Consider the following 18906-nt stretch of genomic DNA (forward strand, 5'->3'; position numbering starts at 1 on the left):
GGTTGACCTCACGTCCACCCCTGCACCCCACTGACCGCTGCACAACTGCGCGGATGCCCCAAAATTAGACTCATCGTCCACGTCACCAACCCAAAGCCCCAGTCCAGCAGACCGGGTGCGTCCTTGCTGAGTTTTGCTTCCCTCAGGTTCCGTTGATGTCACACCCAAGGCCTCTCCTCGTCTGTCCAGCTTCCGCTTCCAGGCGCTTCCGCTTCCAGGCGCTTCCGCTTCCAGGCGCTTCCGCTTCCAGGCGCTTCCGCTTCCAGGCGCTTCCGCTTCCAGGCGCGCGGTGCTAGTACCGGCCCCCGGGCTGGGAACACCTCCAGGCCAGCGCTTTAGCATCATCCGAGGCTCTCCGCTTCCTCAGGGGGACCCGAGTTCTTCCACGCGACTCGTAGGCCCCGCCATCCTCGCTGGGCTCTCCCTGCAACCCTTGCCGCCATCCTTCGGGCTGGCCGATGTCCCTGCCTTGTCTGTGGCTCGTTCCCAGCTGCGTGGCCTCTGCATCCTGCAAGAAGCCTGGGCCTGGCTGTCCTCACAGTGCGGCCGCTGCAGGCTCACACGGTTCTCTCCTCTACAGGCTCCTCTGAGAGGCGATGCCTGGGAGTGTAAACCATGCGAGTGTTCCTCTGCGGTTCCCCAATTCCTAGCCCGACGCCTTGCACAGAGCGGGTCATTCAATGCATGAATGAAGAAAAGAGGAACCAAGGGGGGAATTACGGTATCCTACCCAGGGAGAGTTACTACGGTATCCTACCCAGGGAGAATTACTATGATGTCCTACCCAGGGAGAATTACGGTGTCCTTCCTAGGGAGAATTACGATATCCTACCCAGGGAGAATTAAAGTGTCTTACCCAGGGAGAATTACGGAGTCCTACCCAGGGAGAGTTACTGCGGTATCCTACCCAGGGAGAATTACTATGGTGTCCTTCCTAGGGAGAATTACGGTATCCTACCCAGGGAGAATTAAAGTGTCTTACCCAGGGAGAATTACGGAGTCCTACCCAGGATCCCATCTCCCCAGATGTAGGATTGCTGTGGGGGAAGCCGAGCCCCTGACTCCACCACAGAGGCCGAGCTCCTGTAGGCCCTGCCCCCTGCCCTGTCCCTGAGTCACTCCCTGTGGACTTGGGAGCCAGGGACAGCTCTGGGCCACCATGGAGGCCTGGGCTGGGGGCAAAACTAAACCAAACAGAACAAATCTGCAACAAGATTTGGCTCCGACAATGCGGTGGCCTCCAGGAAGCCTTGGCCTTGGCACAGGGCTGCTCTAGACTCCTAGAATGCCTGCTCTGGGGCTCAGGAGCTCTCATCTGAAAGCCATGTCTGTTGGTGAGAAGAGGCCCTGTGGTCTCTTCTGGGGCACTAGCCCAGGGCACCTGTGAGAAGCCTGTGCTTGGAGGGGTGTGGTCTTTACCTGCCCCCACTCACTTGGTGGGCAGCTCGGCACCTGTGCCCCACGGGGTCCTCTCTTCCACACGCCGTAGCCCAGGGCCTCTGTTCCATCCCTAGCACAGCAGGACCTAGCTTCCCCTTCAGCACTGAACACCCCCAGGAGTCCAGGGCCCCCCGCAGCACCCTGTTCTCACTGTAGCATCTTAATGCATGGCTGGAACCTTTATACTGCTTACTTCTTGCTACTTTTCATGCTTGATGAAAACAAGGGAACGTTTCCCTACCCACCAACTAAGCACTAGAACTCTAGGAGCAATGGAATTAGAACTTGTTCAGTATTTAAAACTTCCCTTTTTGGCTTATAACATAGGATGGAAAGCCAGTACTTGCTATGGACCCCAGAGTGGAGATTCTCTACAGAATGACTATTTGTGAGAAGGATCTGAGCGGCCACTTCCAGGTATTGCGCCAAGGGAGAGAAGGAAGAGGCGATGCTATGTATAGGCTGTGCAGACCTGGCCCGAGTGTCTGTGCTTCGGCTTCCTTGTCTGTATTTTGGGGCAGAAATACCTGCATCATCGGCTGTGAAAACTGGAAGTGATAACATGATACATACAATGCTGGGCACAGAGAAGGAGCTCTGTGATTTTAGATCCTGACTTTCACCTTTATCTGCACTTGTGATCCCTTCTTTAGGGCCCAGATTTGAACCTAACAAAAAGTCGCTCCCCCTCGTCTTCTCCTTCCAAATTTTAGAAACATAGGGGTTCATTTGCAGGCCCTTCCCGAGCCCTGGAGGGAGGGGAGCAATCCCTCCTTTCCTGGGCATTGGAGCTACAGCTCCATGCTCTGCTCAGGGCTCACATCCACAGTTCATTTCTTAGGATTTGGATCCATCTTCCTTTTTTTTTTTTTTTTTGAGACAGAGTCTCTCGCTCTGCTGCCCAGGCTGGAGTGCAGGGGCATGACCTTGGCTCGCTGAAGCCTCCGCCTCCCAGATTCAAACGATTCTCCTGCCTCGGCCTCCTGAGTAGCTGGGATTACAGACTTGCACTACTACACCTGGATAATTTTTGTATTTTTAGTAGAGATGACGTTTCATCATGTTAGCTGATCTCGAACTCCTGGCCTCAAGCGATCTGCCTGCCTCAGACTTCCACAGTGCTGGGATTACAGGCGTGAGCTACCACCGCACCCAGCCACCATCTTCCATTTTTAAAAGTGTCGTTTTCTTTTCGTGAATGAGTTGGAACAGCTCATCTGCTGGTGACTCTGGAAGCTGTTTTTCTCCTCTCACCTTCCTCCTTTGCTCACCTGAATATATCATAAGAATCCCAAAGTTAATGTGTTTAGACAGAATCTAAGGCCCACTCCTCCTGGTGGGCTTCTTTATACCGGATGATGATGTCCCCCGGCTGCTTGCTGCATCCCAGGCCCTCCCTCTTTAGCGCCTGCCTTCTTCCCCAGGGGCCCCTCCCACTCCTGGCCCTGCTGGTCACGGCCCCATTGCTGCTCTCCTCACCTGCACCAGCTCTTCTCTCGGCTGCCACTGTCACCATCCAAGTGCGCTTTTGACACCTGCCGTCTCTCAGCAGCCCGCTGTCTAGGCTAAAAGCTAAGCCTGCACTTGGGTGAATACCCGTTTTCCAGCAAATAAAATTTTACCCCCTTATACTGAATTCAACGGGACTCCTAAAGCAAGTTCCGTTTGTAGCTGCTCCCATAGGCTTAGACCTGAAACTGTTGCCAAACTGAATTATTCACTGTCAAATGTGCATTGATGTTGGTGTTATAAGACGTTCTGTAATACTGGTCCTTTGCTTGGAATATCCTTCTCTGCATGACCTCCTAGAGACCCTCACCATCCCTCATGCAGTGGCTCAGCGTCGCCTCCTCTCTCCTGGGCTCCAACCCACCCTGCCTTGTCAGAATTCAGACATGACTTACTCATTATCTTTAGGCTTTGATAAGTACATACATATTTGAAAAGTATCTTTCAGGTCAGATTCCCACCCTAGTGCCATCCCGACCTGGAGGCCTCAAGGCCACTGCCCTGAGGTGCGCCCTCCTGGAACCCATCTCAGTTTCCCTTAATTGTGCAGGAATGCGTGAGAGTGCGCCAGGCTGGTTAGCTTTTATGTCTTTCCTCATAATTACCTGTACCTCGAGGCTAGGAACACCTTAGTTATCACTGTTCCTTAGCCTCGGGGACAGACTACGTACTCAAATAGGTATTTACTAATTTACTAGGTTTCTGGAATTCCACGCTGGCATTTGGGATTATGTTTAAATGATTAATAATTTCCTAGACAGAAACTGTTTTCCACAATTCACAGGGGCTTGTCATATGTCCACATCTTTATCTGGAACTTTGTAAACGATGGAAACGCTGTAAGGGAGAGCTCTGTGTTCTCTGGGGGAGGGAAAGGCTGGGGGTGAGCACACGGACAGAGCATACGGACAGCTCCAGCGAGAAAGGGCCAACAACAGGTGAGTGCAGGATTATGAGAAACTGGAGGATTTGGGATCCCGGGAGACATGTGGTCAAGGGCAGTGTACCTCGTGGCCCCCAGGCCAAAGTGGTGCTAGGGTGGGTGTCCGGCCCGGAGCCCAGGGGCAGAGCACAGACCTCACTGACCCTCTGGCGAAACAGCTCTATGCCCCGCATGAGAATGGATCCTGTGACCCTCCGGACCCTCTGACTAAACAGCTTTGCACCCTGTGTGAGGGCAGATACTGACAGGGTTGGACAAGCACCACCTTACAAGGTTCCCAAGGCCCCCTGGTGAGGAGCCACCTCTCCGGATTTTGGCAGCGGGACCTGAGACTCTCCAAGGCAGACTTGCTCCTGGCTCTTCTGCATGACATCAAGCCTGTTTCTTCACTGTCTTCTTCAGGACCTGGTGATGTCTCCATTTCACAGCAGGTAAGGCCTTTGGGATCCCTGTTGAAAGTCCCCACAGCACACTGGAGTGGCATAGGTAGACACTGTCTGGCCGTTTGACTGCCATGCTGGAGGCTTCGATTTTGCGCATTATTGTAAAAGAGCAGAGTGGAAGTGCTCCAGGTGAGCACAGGCGCTGACAAGACGGGCAGCTGAGCATCTCTGTGCCCGCGCATCTTCATTTGCAGTCAGGATACCAATAATCTCATAGGATGGTGAGATTATAGATGTAAAATACTCACTGTAATTTCTGGTACATAGCAGGTGCCCAGTGAATGTTCTTTTGTGATTAGAGGCCATTCGGGAACCGTAGAGGCCACAGGGTGTTCTAGTGGGAGTCGGATTCCTGGAGCATCATCATTTGTGGAAAATGTGGACTTGACTTCTGCATTGGAACAACTCCAGGGCCCTTGGAGCTCTTGCTGCTTGCCTGATCCTATGAAAAACGCATGTGGGACGGCTGCGCAGAGAGAATGAGGAGCACCCCTGGGCAGGCCTGTCTGGCGGGACCTGGAGACTACAGGTGAAGGAGAAGGCCTGGGGGTCGGAGAAAAGAGCAAAGGGAGACTACAGGTGAAGAAGTGGGCCTGGGGGGTCGGAAAAAAGAGCAAAGGGGTCTGGAAAACAGGATTTTGAGGACACACTTAAGAAACAGTCTGTTAGTTTGAAAACAAGAGTATAAAGAGGAGCCCCATGGATGACTGTGAATGACATGGAAGCCTTTGTAGGCATTTGGTCAACAGGGCCTCTGTTCACTGAGGACGGAGAGTCGGCAAAGCAGCGGATAGAGGATTGTTTGATAGAACATCACAGCCAATAAACATTTGTTGAAATGGACTTAGGGACGTTTTAGATGCTATGTGGAGGCCAGAAAACACCACCGCTAAGAGGCAGGTACAACCCCACCTTCTCTAGGTGGTTTAGGCACACCTACTTCCTCCAGGGCCATCCTAGGCTCATGGGGCTGCCAGGAGGTGGGACTCGGAGTCAGACGACATGGGCTCCAGTTGCAGCTCTGCTACTGAATCTCCTGGCCCCTCAGTTTCCTCAAATTCAAAAGTTAATGAAATCGCTAATTCTCAGCGCATCTGTGGAGATGGTGGAGGACAGCTCCTCACCCAGTTTCCCAGAATGGGCCCAGGAGAAGGCTGGGGCTTGGCCTCAGTTTTCTCTCAGATGGGAGCTGGGAATGCTCTGCAACTGCAGACAGAATTGGAGTGTGTGCCTTTGTCCTGGGAGCAGGAGGGAGAATTCTACAGACACCACGGAAGCGCGAGGCATTTGTCCTGGGAGCAGGAGGAAGAATTCCAGACACCACGGAAGCGCGAGGCGTTTGTCCTGGGAGCAGGAGGGAGAATTCCAGACACCACAGGTGCGCGAGGCGGATCTGTGCTCTGAACAGGTTCAGGATCATTGTTTGGTGACTTCCCCTCTCACAACAGCCCACAGTACAGGAGGAGGATGCCTTGAACCCACACAACTACCTTGAATTGTGGCATAACTGAGGGAAAAAGAAGGCCAGTGAATCATCGTCTAAGTGGCGTTTGCCTATAGGTAACATTATCTTCCTGTTCCTGGGAAACAGACAATAGAAGATTAACATGAAAAGAAGTTCCTCCTACTTGCATTTCTGGCCACCAAGAGCCAACAGACCTTTAAGAGTTTCCTTGTTTGCTTGTTGGCTTCTGTCTGTCTGCAGCAGCTCATTTACACAGAACTGCACTTGTTTTGCTGGGGCCTCCATCTTCCTTTAGCGGGGGCTTTATGTAAGGACTGTCACGTGGAGGCAACACTTCTGCTGAGCAACGTGCCCAGCCCCGCTTAGATGTCTATACTAGGGAAGCTGTTACTAGAACAAGTAACGTCACAAGGTGCTCCACCTTCAGTACGCTAAAACCCCGAGAGGGCTCTGTCTAGGTCTCAGATTTGTCAAACACAAATCACACTTACTTTCCAACTCCATTGACTTAACCCTGGGATCATTTACTCCAGGCATAGATGGTAGCTTAAATTTGAGCTTAGATTTTAATCATGGGTTTGTGCTATATTAAGACTTAACAGTCTAAGATATATGTAAAATGAATAAAATGTTTAACCCACATGAGGACTAAATTTACATGATGCCAACTCCCACCAAAAAAAAAAAAAAATCAGAAAAACAGACATTTGGACACAAAGTGACCAGGAAGTGTTCACCTTACGGGGTGCTGACATTACGCCATGCCGGAAGCTCTGGCCACGTGAGAGGACCAAGACATCGCTTTTCTAAGATGAAATAAACACCAGCATGGAATGTTCTTGTCTTTGTATATTTAATTGGAGTTTTACAAATTTTTTTTTAATCTAAACCAGTGATTTAATTCTGGCAATCTTGTTGGACGGCGCGACTCACTCGTGTTCTACCAAATGTGGTGGCTGTTTCTGTGCTGCCTGGTGAAGCCACATCAATGTCATAAGCCCTCTGCTGCCCTGGGTCTGTGGCAGTGGTCCCCCCAGGGGACACTCAGCAGTGACTGCAGGCATCTTTGGTTGTCACGAAGGGGTGGATGCTCCTGGCATCTGGTGGGTGAGGCCCAGGGGTGCCGCACAGGTCCCACGGTGCGGAGGACGGCCCCCACGGCAAACAGCCATCTGCCCCCACTTGCCAGCACTGCAGAGGCTGAGGAATCTGGGTGAAGAGCTTGCAACGTTGGCACGGAGTCTGGAGAATCCTCCCACAAGTTGCATGCTTCATTTTTCTTTGGTGGCATTCACAATGTGTGCTTTTCATAGACACGTGCTGTTTAAACATAGCTCTCAAATGGCTGGGATGTGAGCACAGGAGCGAGTTACCTTCAGTGAGATTTTAATGACAAAACAATCATCCTGTGAGTTCTGTTTCTAATCCAAAACGCCAGCCAGTCAGGTGAGGGTCCCCCACTCTGACTGTTGGGATCTGGTCACTCAGGGACAGATAGCAGGTTTCACTCAGCTACTCTGTACAGACAACCGTGCTCTAGGGGGCGGGGTGGTGAGGGGGGGGCCATTATCCACTGCTGACAGTGTCTTTAACTCTCCTAGCTTCCTTTATCTCCCTCTCTCCTTCCCTTCCCTCGCTCCCTTCCCTCCTGCCCCTCCCTCCTTCCCTTTCCTTCCCCTTCCCTTCCCTTCCCCTCCCCCTCCCCCTTCCTTCCTTCCTTCCTTCCTTCCTTCCTTCCTTCCTTCCTTCCTTCCTTCCTTCCTTCCTTCCTTCCCTGTCTTTTCTCTCTTTCTTTTTTATTGCAAGCAGTATGTTAAAAGCAGGAGGCCTCATCTGCGTCTGGACTGCGTACTTTATAAGCTAAAATTTAGAGAGCTGAAAGGGAGCAGCTACCTTACAACTTCGTTTATTTGATAGATGCAGCACTGTTTCCCATACAGGGAGACTTCACTTTAAATCGGTCTTATTTCAGAAACATTCTTGTCTTTACCTCAGCATTGGCTGTTGGTACATCTAAACATGACTTCACCATTCACAGCATGTAGTGGATTCGCCTTTGTGTGGACGATATGTTCACAAAGGTTTTCTTCTTGACCAAAACTTTAGTTGAGCTCCTCTGGGTCCTTTACTAGAATGCACCCGACCTTGGCTTCCCTCTCTGTGCTTGTAGGATCCAGTTTGAGCAAGAATCCTGCTAACTCAGTTTAAGAACAATTCCCCACCATCAGTGTCGGAGCATTTGGATATCCTACCACCCTGGCCGGCCATCAGCAATGACAGCAATGATCCCATCAAGTCCGTCTGGCCAGAAATCCCTTCTCCTTGGTGCTTCCCGTGGGGAATTTTCCATCCACTGACCCCAATCTGCTCCTTGGTTGTAAATCCCCACTTGTCCTCATTAGGGTTTGAGCTGAGTCCAGTCTCCCCGACTACAGGAGCTCATTGCATGGCGCCTGGACCTCTTGCCCTGCCCACCCCGCTTGAATAGTCTGGTGTACCATCTTTAACAAGTGGTAAATTTTTTCTCGAATAGTACCACAATTTCTTTCCATTCTCGGCTAAATAGTGCCTGTCCTAAATTCCATGTTAATCCAGTAGTTACTGAATGTCAAGTGGTATAGAATTTTTGTTATCTCACATGATGAAATCTCTATATTATATTTTAGACAGTACCTTCTTTTTGGGAGAGACAGTGCCTAGACTTTGTAACATTAAGTGCTTCTTAATGTTACATTCTGCTTAGAATAACTGTACAGCTTTGTGGTCCAATCTTAATATTTAAGAGACCAACTCTCAGTGGCATTAGAATGTGTGTCTCTTGATGGCTTTTCTCAGGGATCTTATAGTAGATACTGTTCTTTTGCCTTTACTCTTCCAATTTAGAAAGAAGTGCAGCTGGATAGGTGGAATGTTTCTCAGTGGGGCCACTTGCACTGCATGTGAGATGTCCTGAGAGGAGCCAGTGGCCCTGGAAAAGGAAGGTTTGCTTTCTAAGAGAAGCTCCAATGAGGACGTCACTGCTTTATGGCGCTAAGAGTCTCTAGATCCTTAATTTTGCCCATGGTGTCAAACTTCGCAAGGCTTGGAGCCTGACGTGAGTGATATTCCTGCCATTTCAGTGAGAAAGAGCATTTTGGAGAGAAGAGTAGCATCTCTACATACCTCCGATGAGAAGCATAATTGCCGGTGATATGTCCAGAACCATCACAGCCAGGCGTGGGGCACCTACAATAAAAAATGCAAATTGTGTTAAAATGGAAAGAAATAAAGTTCCCTGAACAATTAACTTTTTTTTAATCCAAAAAGCAAACTAACTCTATTGCTTCACTTCCTACTTGAAAGAGGCTGAGTGGAGCCGGAAGCTCCCTCATGGAGCTGGAAGTCACCATGACCACACACACACCTTCCAGAGCACCGGGAGCTTCGTGGCTGCTCCGCTCCCCACAGTCTCTGGAGCAGATGCCGCACTTTTGGTCCCTAGGCTGCTCATTCTAGAACCTGTATTCCCTCCTAACAGCCCGCCTTTCCTCCCCTCATTCTTAAAGCTCAGCAGAGCCAGCAACCACAGGGCTTGTTACTGCACCAGCCCACGTGGGAAGCAAGGCTCACACATGAACAGACATGCCCTGGGGTCTGAGAGAATGGTTTTAGTCTGAACTCAGACCCCAGCACTGCAAAGGCACCCCTTCCACAGACTGGCCAGGGCTGCGGCCAGCCTGGGTGGTCCCAGGGAGCAGTGAGGGTATCGACCCGCATCTGGACCATGGGAATGCAGGCCGACTGTCTTTCCGATGACCACTGTGCACTCAGGCAGGTTTGATAGACCTTAAAATAGTTGTTACTCTTGAGCGACATGAAGAACATAAATCAGTTCAGATCCACCAGGTCAGTCAGTGGAGAGGCTCTGAACAGTTCATGGGGACATACACTCATCTGCTGAAGCCTACCGAGGCAACCCCATCCCGTTTCTTAATTAAGGTCTTGCTATTTCTCTAATCAGAGACTTTTTTTAAGAAAAAGAGCTTTATAATTATATTGCCCTCCATATAACTTCTTAACTATGCTGTCTCAAGAATAATGAGATCAACTTCTTAACTATGCTGTCTCAAGAATAATGAGATCACACCGCAAACACATTTTCACTTTGAGCTATTTCAGTTGCATTTGCGCCCACCATGAATGTAAAAATTAAGAAAAAATTCCCTTTATTTCCATTACATTTGTAATTCTCCAAAAATGACAAGGAGAAAGCAACTTAGTGAGCAATATTACACCTAGTAGGAAGCATCAAAGCATACTCCATGCCCCTTCCCACCTCAGTGAGTACCCGAATTCTTGTCAAGATCAAGAATCACAATTTAAAAATATTTTAATACATGTCTACTGCTCCTAGAGATTTCAATTTGCTTTCCACTCAGAAAGTCACTATGGATAGGGTACTGGGGGCTGAGACCAGGACGGCAAAGTGCTTGCTTACAGGTGGGCTTTCTCAAGATCAGAGGAGAATGGCAGGGATTAGAGTGGGAACACATGACATTGGCCGAATTTTAAGTGTATGAATGTCACATTTTGATACTTGGATGTGTAAATGGTTTTCAGTACTCTCCTTTAGTCCTAAGAAAGGGAACAGAACTCTAGATCTCAGGGTATAGAAGTGGATGTTTTCCACATCATATTAGAGGAAAAGTCTAATTTATGACCTGCTCCCGGGGAGAATGAGAGGGTCACTGAGTGAAGAAGCAGTAAAGGGTTCTTCTGTGTGCTCCCATCACTGCTCTTCAGCCTAAGGGGAACTGGGGATTTTAAAAGAGGAGTTTGGGGCAGAACAGTGATGAGGTATTTCAAACAGCGTCTGCATATCATGAGCAACAACTCCAAATCCAATTGTTAGACCTGATTTTTGTTCAAGTAACAGCTGTTCACATATACTTAAAGTTTGATCGTAAGACTATTCAGTCAGTTGCTAAGTAATTATTGTCTAAAAAATAAATGACTGAACTTAACTAGCTGGTTTTTCAAATGACACCTTATGTGGGTAAACTCCAAACCCATATGCTTACATAGGAAGACATTTGAAAGCAACAAAAATCATTCTATCCAAGAGAAGCTAATCGTGGTGCATGTATCTGTATTAAAAATGTATCAAGAAACAAATTTTTCCTACCAGCCACCAATACATACTTGGTATTACTTTTTGCTTAAGAAAAGAAAAAGATTCTTAAACTTTCTAATTCAAGTACATAGTGCATGTTTATTTAAAATTTATTCATTTTAATATGGCTAAACATTTTTGAGATGTTCTTTTTTGTTGGGGCAGAAGGAAGTTGACTCTTCTGCTCAAATTTAAAGTGAGATATTATAGCCAAATAATTCAGTGAAAATCATATTTTTACTACCTATAAAAGTTTTTGTGGTAGTTTTTATGTGTTTAAATGTCATTTATGAAAGTATAATCCATTGTTTGATAAGAAAATAGGTGTTTTAACCAGCACCTGTGGCAACTTAATGTCCTGTCAAATACTTTTATTGCTTGGTTTATGTGTCCTTCTTGTTATAGGAGAATATGCCTTTTTAAAAAGCTTATTAATAGCACTTTCCCAATTTATATCTTAAAAATCCAAAGAACACTGGATTAATAAAATTTGGGAGGGTAGAATAAAATAATTGATGACTCTTGCTGCATTTCTCGGGTGGGATGGGGCTGTTGGAGAACCTGAACTACTTTGAAAACATTAGGTCTCAGTATAAATACAACTCACAACTGCTAACTTGGAGGGTGGCGGGGGAACACTGTGAGTTTTGTTTTGTTTATTGATTAGTCTTTAAAGTAGGGCTTTTTTTGAGATTACTGGGCCATCATTAAATGTGATTATGTAAAGAGATTAATGATACATATGGAGGGCTCTACCCAAGTCCGCTAAATAAGCACTACTCAGGTGCAGACTGCAAGCTCAAATGTATCTGTGTTATGAGATTAACGGAAAATAGCAAGTGTGCTGCTGAAGTCTACACCAATGGGGTTAGATGAGTGCTATGCCCTTAATTTTAAAATCAAATTAGGTTTCAGTAAAAAAAGTTTTTAAAATGTCCTTTTTCATCATGAAAACAAACAAAACTATATTGATTTAGCTCATTTTTAGAGCTTTCACTGTACTGAGGAAGAAAAAAATCATTGGAAGGAGGCTTTTCTCTCTTAAAAGGATTGTTCTCATTTCCAGGATTTCGAGTTGGGCGGGTGGGGCGTTCATCCCAGGCGTGCCACTTGCTAGCCGCGTGAATGAATGTGGGGAAGCTGTTTGGCCCGAGAAGGCTCACAGTCCTCCTGGGCCTGACGTCGTCTCCTTCTCTTGAGACGCCTCTCCACCCGCCTGCATAGGTTCCTGTGAACGCCACAGTTCAGGCTGCCCTCAACGTCCTCACTAGCGCCCAGAGCAGAGACATGCTGGAAACACTGGCTGTGTCTCCCTGAGATAACCAGCCCCCGGTTTTCGGGGGTGGTAATTCAGCTTTTCCGTCTTTAGGTGGTGCTTCTAGACCACATAAGGCAGCCCAGAATGGCTTTTCAAGGGTTCCTCCTTCCAACCGCTCTTGGTATCCATTTTTATGTTACTGTTCAAGAATTTAAGGCTCTTTAAAAACTCATAGATTTACATACAAATTTCCTAGCTTTAAGAAATCTCAACATTAAAAAAATACAATGTTCTGAAGTCGATGGATGGGGAAGTGACTGTTCATCTAACAAAAGGGATCTTCGCCTCTCAAACGGAGTCAGCTCCAGGATCCTCGACCACGGGCGTGGCGTGAAATCGATTTACAAACACGCGATTTGTATCTGCCCATCTAGGAGCATTGCCTTTTCCACGAAGGAAGCCCAGGTGGGACAATCAGCATCCCCCGTGGATAGAATCAGATGGCAGCCTGTGCTGCACAGCTTGGGTTTGGAAATGGCAGAAGAGATTGACTGGGTTTCCATGGAAACGGCCTCTCAGCTCCCTTTCAGGGAGGCTGCGGCTCTCAGCGCTGCAGCACTCAGGCTGCTGGGGAGCAGAGTGGGGTTGGAAAGAGCACCACTCACCTAGCGCCCCGCCTGCTTTCCTGACAGTTACCACGAACAATAACAGCAAGGCTATTTTAAGTTCCTGTAGATGGTTAAGGTGTAAACTTGCATTAAATAAAACGCTTGGTTATATATACATATGTATATATTTTCTTTTCTATTCCAAAGATACTATTGCTAAAAACAACTGGAGAAAGAAGATGATGAACAAATAATCTTGAAACCCACACGAGCTGCCCCACGGATATTTTCAAGACAAAAATAGTCCTGATCTTGCTTCATCTCTGGTCATGGGTTTGCCTGAGATTAAGAATTTAAGAGAAATAAAAAATAAAAAAAAAGGAAGAAGAATTGAAGAAAAAATAACTTTTGGTTGTACATATTAAGAGAAAATAACTTTTGGTTGTACATATTACTATCTGGTTGAAAAAATGTGTCTTGTATAGACATTTACGAGTGGTGATGGAAAAATCATAATAAAATATTTTAAGCAGTATTTACATTACAGCCAACGTGCAGAATTCAGGCGAATTCTAAAAAAACAAAACAAAACAAAACAAAACCACCCAAGCAACAACAAGAAAACAAAAAGTAAAAGACAGGGACGCTCAGAAGCATTTGGAACTCTGACTTTAAGGCAAGAGCCCTTGTCAGGTAGAAACATCTGTTCCTGTTGCTTTTGCAGATCTGAGGCATCTGAGGAACCCTTGGACTTGACCCCTTGTCCCCTTTGTGCTCCTGGCCTTGTCTTTACTATTCACCACCAAAGAAACAATCTCTGTGAGCCTGTGTAAGAAGCGGCATTGACCACACGTCCATGGAGGTCATAAGATGTGTCGGCTAACATAAAAGAAGAGCTCGAAATCTAGGCATTAGAATACATCATCATAAAAAAATCATATTGTTTTCCATTGGTGCACATCACGCAGCTGGGACGCTCACCAACTGGCTTTTCAGATGCCCTCTGATGTGTCCTTCCCAGGACATAAACCCATTGCTGTGCGGATTCCCTCCCATTTACAAAACCATAACCTGAAGCAGGGTGGTGTACATGAAACAGCTGTGTCTACCGACTGAGGCTGTATTGTAGCCAGTTATTCATACGAATGTCTTGAAAGTGCTCCCTCTAGGGTCTATCATCCCATCCTCTCTCTTTCAAAAGGAAATAGTATGGAAATTAAATAAATGCTTGCAGTTCTACTAAGCAAGGCATTGAAAGCACGACATGCTCTTCAGGATAGGGCTGCCTCTAGTTAAATGGATGCTCACAGTACAGCACATTTTACTGCCTAAACCCACTTTACATCAATGCTGTTAGAAAACAAGGCAGAGACTCCTGGAGACAGAGGCCAGGAAAGAGCCCACAGCACAGACATTCATTGTCCAGGGGTCAGGACAAGCTGCCACATGCTTTTGTTAGACACACGTGTTGAACACCCAGAGTCAGTGAGGACAACCTCCCACCATCACCTGCAGAGCAAGTGCACGCGGAGGCTCAGAGGCCACAGGCCTGGGAGGCAGGGCCTGGGAGTCCTCCCAGCCTGACTCAGTGTTTCACAGGAGCATGAACACGAGGCAAGACCCAGCCAGTCATCAGGGCCTGGGAGTCCTCCCAGCGTGACTCAGCATCTTACAGGAGCATGACTGCGGGCCAAGACCCAGTGGGTCCACCATCATCTATCTCCAAATCAGTCTAAAGGGAGAACTACCTGGAAGAGACGCACAATCTCTCATCTTGATTGAGTTAACTACTTATTTATTTTTTTTAAAAGTCTTCTAAATGAAGGCTAAAAGGACTCCCAGAATGTTTCAGCTCTGTCTGGATTAATGATCTCTGAGGCTGCCCTCATCTAATTGAGTCATTCCTCAAAGGCTCCCCGGATTTTGAGCTCAGCAGCTAAAATGTACAGAACAACATTGAATATTTGGAGTAATAATGCAAATGTCAGATGGAGAGACTTTGAGTTCTTCTAAGAATTTCTCAGAAAGCCCCTTTCATGTGTCTTTTTTCATTCCTTTGTTTCATGGTAGCTCTATCATGGAGACTTAAGTAGTAAAACACAAAATATGAAAAAATAGATTTTTTTCTTTATCCCCCGAATTAAAACAAAATAACAAAAATGTATAATCAGGCCTTACCTATAGGAGAAAAACATATTTGTAAATCAGAATGATTCTGGCCACGTGAATAAGCCTTTGCCCCACTTACATGGAAATTTCAATTTTAAAACTTGTTTTTCACCTAAACAGATCTGGTTCTAAAAATATGTATTGCTCCGAAGCACCAGAGACATGGTAAAAAAAATTTTTTAAAATACATATTACTATTTTTTTTTTTTTAATTTGAGACAGAGTCTCACTCTGTTGCCCAGGCTGGAGTACAGTGGTGCAATCTCGGCTCACTGCAACCTCCTCCTCCCAGGTTCAAGTGATTCTCCTGTCTCAGCCTTCCCAGCAGCTGGGATTACGGGCATGCACCACCATACCCAGCTAATCTTTTGTATTTTTGTAGAGACAGGGGTTTCGCCATGTGGGCCAGGCTGGTCTCAAACTCCTGACCTCAAGTAATCTGCCCGCCTTGGCCTCCCAAAGTGCTGGGATTATGGGCGTAAGCCACCACACACAGCCTAAATATATTTTTTAATTTTGATTCTTGTTGTCATATAAATGGGAAACAATAAAGAAATGTAGAGAAAGGCAAAATAAAGACATTTCAAATAGGAGAAAAAGGCTCGATACCCATTTTTAGTCTGCACTGCTGCAACTTTCTTTCCAAACAGAAAGAGACCAGGCTACTTAGGAGTAAGCAGTTCAGAGCTGATCCTCTGCATCCGACTGCTCCACATCCTCAGATTCAACCAATGAAAGATCAAAAATATTCAGAGAAAAATGATAAAAAACAATAAAAATAATACAAATTTTAAAAATACGCTATAACAACTCCATCAATAGCCTTTACTTTGTATTAAGAATTGTATGTAATCCAGAGAAAGTTAAAATGCATGAGAGGATGTGTGCAGCTGGTAGCAGGGACAGGAGCCCCCTTGGATTTGGTATCCTCAGGGGTCCTGGAACCAACCCCCCAGGGATGCTGGGAAACAACTATCCTGTATCACTTCTGGCCAATTTCTTAAAGAGATTTCCTAAAATTCACGGAAAGGCAATTCTTGTAAATCACTCTGCAGTTTGTAAGACATTCAGTGATTTTGTCTTCTTTTGGAATTCCATGTGAAGTATGCGTATTTTGCACTTTCTCCCACGCTAATACAGCAGTGCAAGATCCCGCATGGGGCGTTGATATTTTCCAAGCCACCTTTTGCTACCTTCTCCCGGGTGGAGTCTCTGCTGCCTCCCCCATAGGCACCTCAGCCTCCCTGCCCGGTGCCCTCTCCGAATTCCCTTTCCCAAAGCCTCTCATTAGGAAAGGGTGCGGCGGCATGCCTGCTACTTGGAAGTACCAGATACTGCAAGAGTGCTGCACACACACCCTGACAGCCTGGGGGAGGGTGCTCTTGTCACTAAGCTTCAGCCACTCTGGGTCTCCCGGGAGGCTTTGTCCCTGAGATTCTTAGAGGGTCTCCCATTCGGCTTGGTTTCCTGAAAGTCAGGTGAGGGTTTTTTACAAAATGATGTCTAGGATATTCCAGTATTAGGAAAACCTACACATTTCAAAGTGTGAAGTAGACTTGCCTATATTTGTGGCATTTAGGTGGAATGCTTGCTTTCTGATATATGTAACCTGTAAACAAAAAACACCTTTCTTTCTTTTGGTTCCCAGCACTTTTCTTTTTAAATTACACTAGAAAATAACAAAAAATACATGGGAAATAATTTTAAAAGTACCCTTATCATAATTTTTTAAAAATTTCTTTTTCATGACGCAGATGAGATTTTGGAATGGGCTAGGCCCCAGGTTGCTCAGAACGTGCAAGGGTCATCATGCAAATGAAACACCAAAGTTCTGGTTGTAGGGCCTTGTGGCTGAGAGTGTGCAAGAACTGTGAAGTTATGGCTGGCAAAATAGCAACTGGGCGAGTGAAGAAGCATTATTAGTTGTATGATGCCCAATAACTGTAGTAACCAGAACACACCTAAGTTTATCTGGATGACATGCAGATGGTATCACCCGCTGACAGCAGGAATATTGGCCAGGGGATTTACACCGTGGCTTGCGGCTCCAGTGCCTATATTAGCACTGGGTCAGCCTCTCACCTGCACCACGTCCCATCCAGCCGCCCTGCCCCCTGGCCCTGGTGCCCTGATACCCTGGAGGACGCACGCATGCTGCCCCAGCGTTGGGGACAGCGCGCCGGATGAGAGGGGCTCTGGGAAAGGGGACCCGGGCCGCGCTGGTGACAGGTCTGTCTCCACTCCTGGGCTTGTTTTCTGGGGATTCTCTCGCTGCGGTTTGGCTGTTTGGGGAGCACCCAGGGGCTGCCACGGCAGCGTCACTGTCCATGCTGCATGCAGTTTGTCTGTTTCCCGACCATGCAGCCTAGGACTCTTCACTTATCCCTCTGTGTTGATCATGCTGCCCTCGTTGCCAACACTGCGAACCGCTGCAGGGCCGAAAGGCGCCCCAAGTACATCCAGCAATAGGCTCCTGTCCAGTGCGGCAGAACGTACCTAGCACATCCTGACGTCCCATTCACTTAACGGGATGTGTCCATGGGAACTGCTGCCAGAGCACATGCACGTCCAGCAGCAGTGGAGCGGCTAAGCAAGAGGCTGGGGCCGCCGGAGCCAGTATTGGGGTTGGACTCGGAGGACCCATGCAAAAAAAAAATACAAAAGGTGACTGGTGCAGCTGACGCAAGGCAACAGAAACGCCACCCCAGCCTCTCGCCCTCGCGTGGAAGAGTGAGTTTCATCCAGGGCCTGACGCATTCAAACCACACGCTCGGGATGCAGGTGGGGCCCCCAATTCCACATGCAAAGGGACCTCACTCAGGGCTGGGATGCTGGGGCCTGGGGTCGCAAGAGAGGTACTCACCTTGAGTTGATTACACGGAGCCCTAAGGCAGCTAATGCCATTTACATGTAGTAAAAACATGTTTTAAAATACATTTTATGCAGCTTGTTGCAGGGAATTCCTTTCGGGCGGTGGGATCCGGGATGAGATGTGTAAGACTGAGCATCTCTACCTTACTCTCAACACGGCCATTATTAGATGGTCTGGAGATGCTTTCACAAACAGTCCTTTGTCCTTATCACTCTCAGAGGCAAGGACTGTTTGTCCCTTAGGGTAAGGAACCCGCTGTGGGATGAGGAGTCATTCATCCTGGAGGGTTAATGGTGGGGGCTGGGAGCGGTTCTTTGCAAGGGCTACTGCCTCGACAGCACCAATTTTCCAACACCAAGAACCCACTGGATTGCCTGTGAGACTAAGACGGAGGATCCAGCACCACCACGGCGACCACGCTCATGGCCAGCACCACCACTGCTCACCTCACACACACACACACTTGTGCACACACACTCACTCCTAGCCCCAGAGGGCACAGAGGGAAGCGGCGACAATGGCCAAAAACTCAACACAGCTCAGATATTGTTTTTTAAATCTGAGGACCCCGAGGCCCTGAGGAACTGAAAGAGCCATTCTGTGGGGTCAGACACAGACTCCTGTGTGTGCCTGGAGGGGTCCTGAGGGCAGCGACTTCTTCCACTGCTGAACTGGGGCATGGGGACGGCCACTTCCTATCTCCCTCCGGGAGGGTTTAGACTCCTTTTCAGTTACATAAGGGAGGTTCAGAGAATTCAAAAGCAGATCAGTTTCCAAAAGCTGGTAGACTTCAGCTTGCCTTAGGAAAGGCAGGTCTTCCAGGACAGGAGAAAGGAAGGATTTCTAGAGCCACCTAGACAGGAGGGGATGTACATGTTTTTCCTCTTCAGCAGAAATGTTGATCCTCATCCTTTACATTCGTGTTATTTTTGTGCTATTTTTTCTTGTTTGCCTGGTTTGTGAATCTTTTTTTTTTTTTGTAGCCCTTAACTTCTCTCATAGGGAAAAGATTTGTATTCTAATCGGGGTTTGGGGGGGTGTTAAAGA

General features: G+C 47.4%; 1 protein-coding gene and 1 long non-coding RNA gene across 31 annotated transcripts in view, besides 2 other annotated features; one reads left to right on the top strand and one right to left on the bottom strand.

Moving 5' to 3' along the window:
• MYT1L (myelin transcription factor 1 like) overlaps positions 1 to 18906 on the bottom strand; it is a 542163-nt gene that overhangs the window by 53566 nt on the left and 469691 nt on the right. For all 29 annotated transcript variants that reach the window (NM_015025.4, NM_001303052.2, XM_011510326.2 and 26 more), the window contains one exon: positions 8963 to 9025. In NM_015025.4, the coding sequence (NP_055840.2) occupies positions 8963 to 9025 (63 nt within the window). The remainder of the gene's footprint in view (positions 1 to 8962; positions 9026 to 18906) is intronic.
• LOC107985838 (uncharacterized) lies at positions 305 to 8986 on the top strand. 2 transcript variants are annotated; one of them, XR_007086191.1, is made up of 4 exons: positions 305 to 394; positions 581 to 721; positions 1768 to 1857; positions 8920 to 8986. It is a non-coding gene; the product is annotated as an uncharacterized LOC107985838 (long non-coding RNA). The 2 variants fall into 2 exon arrangements; XR_007086190.1 differs by lacking the exon at positions 8920 to 8986 and adding an exon at positions 8684 to 8804.
• Positions 429 to 1083: an enhancer, noted in NCBI's record as "H3K4me1 hESC enhancer chr2:1846879-1847533 (GRCh37/hg19 assembly coordinates)". NCBI's record gives its function as "activates a minimal SCP1, AML or CMV promoter by ChIP-STARR-seq in naive H9 embryonic stem cells {active_cell/tissue: H9 hESC(naive)}" and the evidence as "EXISTENCE:reporter gene assay evidence [ECO:0000049][PMID:30033119]".
• Positions 1084 to 1737: an enhancer, noted in NCBI's record as "H3K4me1 hESC enhancer chr2:1847534-1848187 (GRCh37/hg19 assembly coordinates)". NCBI's record gives its function as "activates a minimal SCP1, AML or CMV promoter by ChIP-STARR-seq in naive H9 embryonic stem cells {active_cell/tissue: H9 hESC(naive)}" and the evidence as "EXISTENCE:reporter gene assay evidence [ECO:0000049][PMID:30033119]".

Source organism: Homo sapiens, chromosome 2, assembly GCF_000001405.40.
Source record: "Homo sapiens chromosome 2, GRCh38.p14 Primary Assembly".
In the NCBI taxonomy this organism is placed as follows: Eukaryota; Metazoa; Chordata; class Mammalia; order Primates; family Hominidae; genus Homo; species Homo sapiens.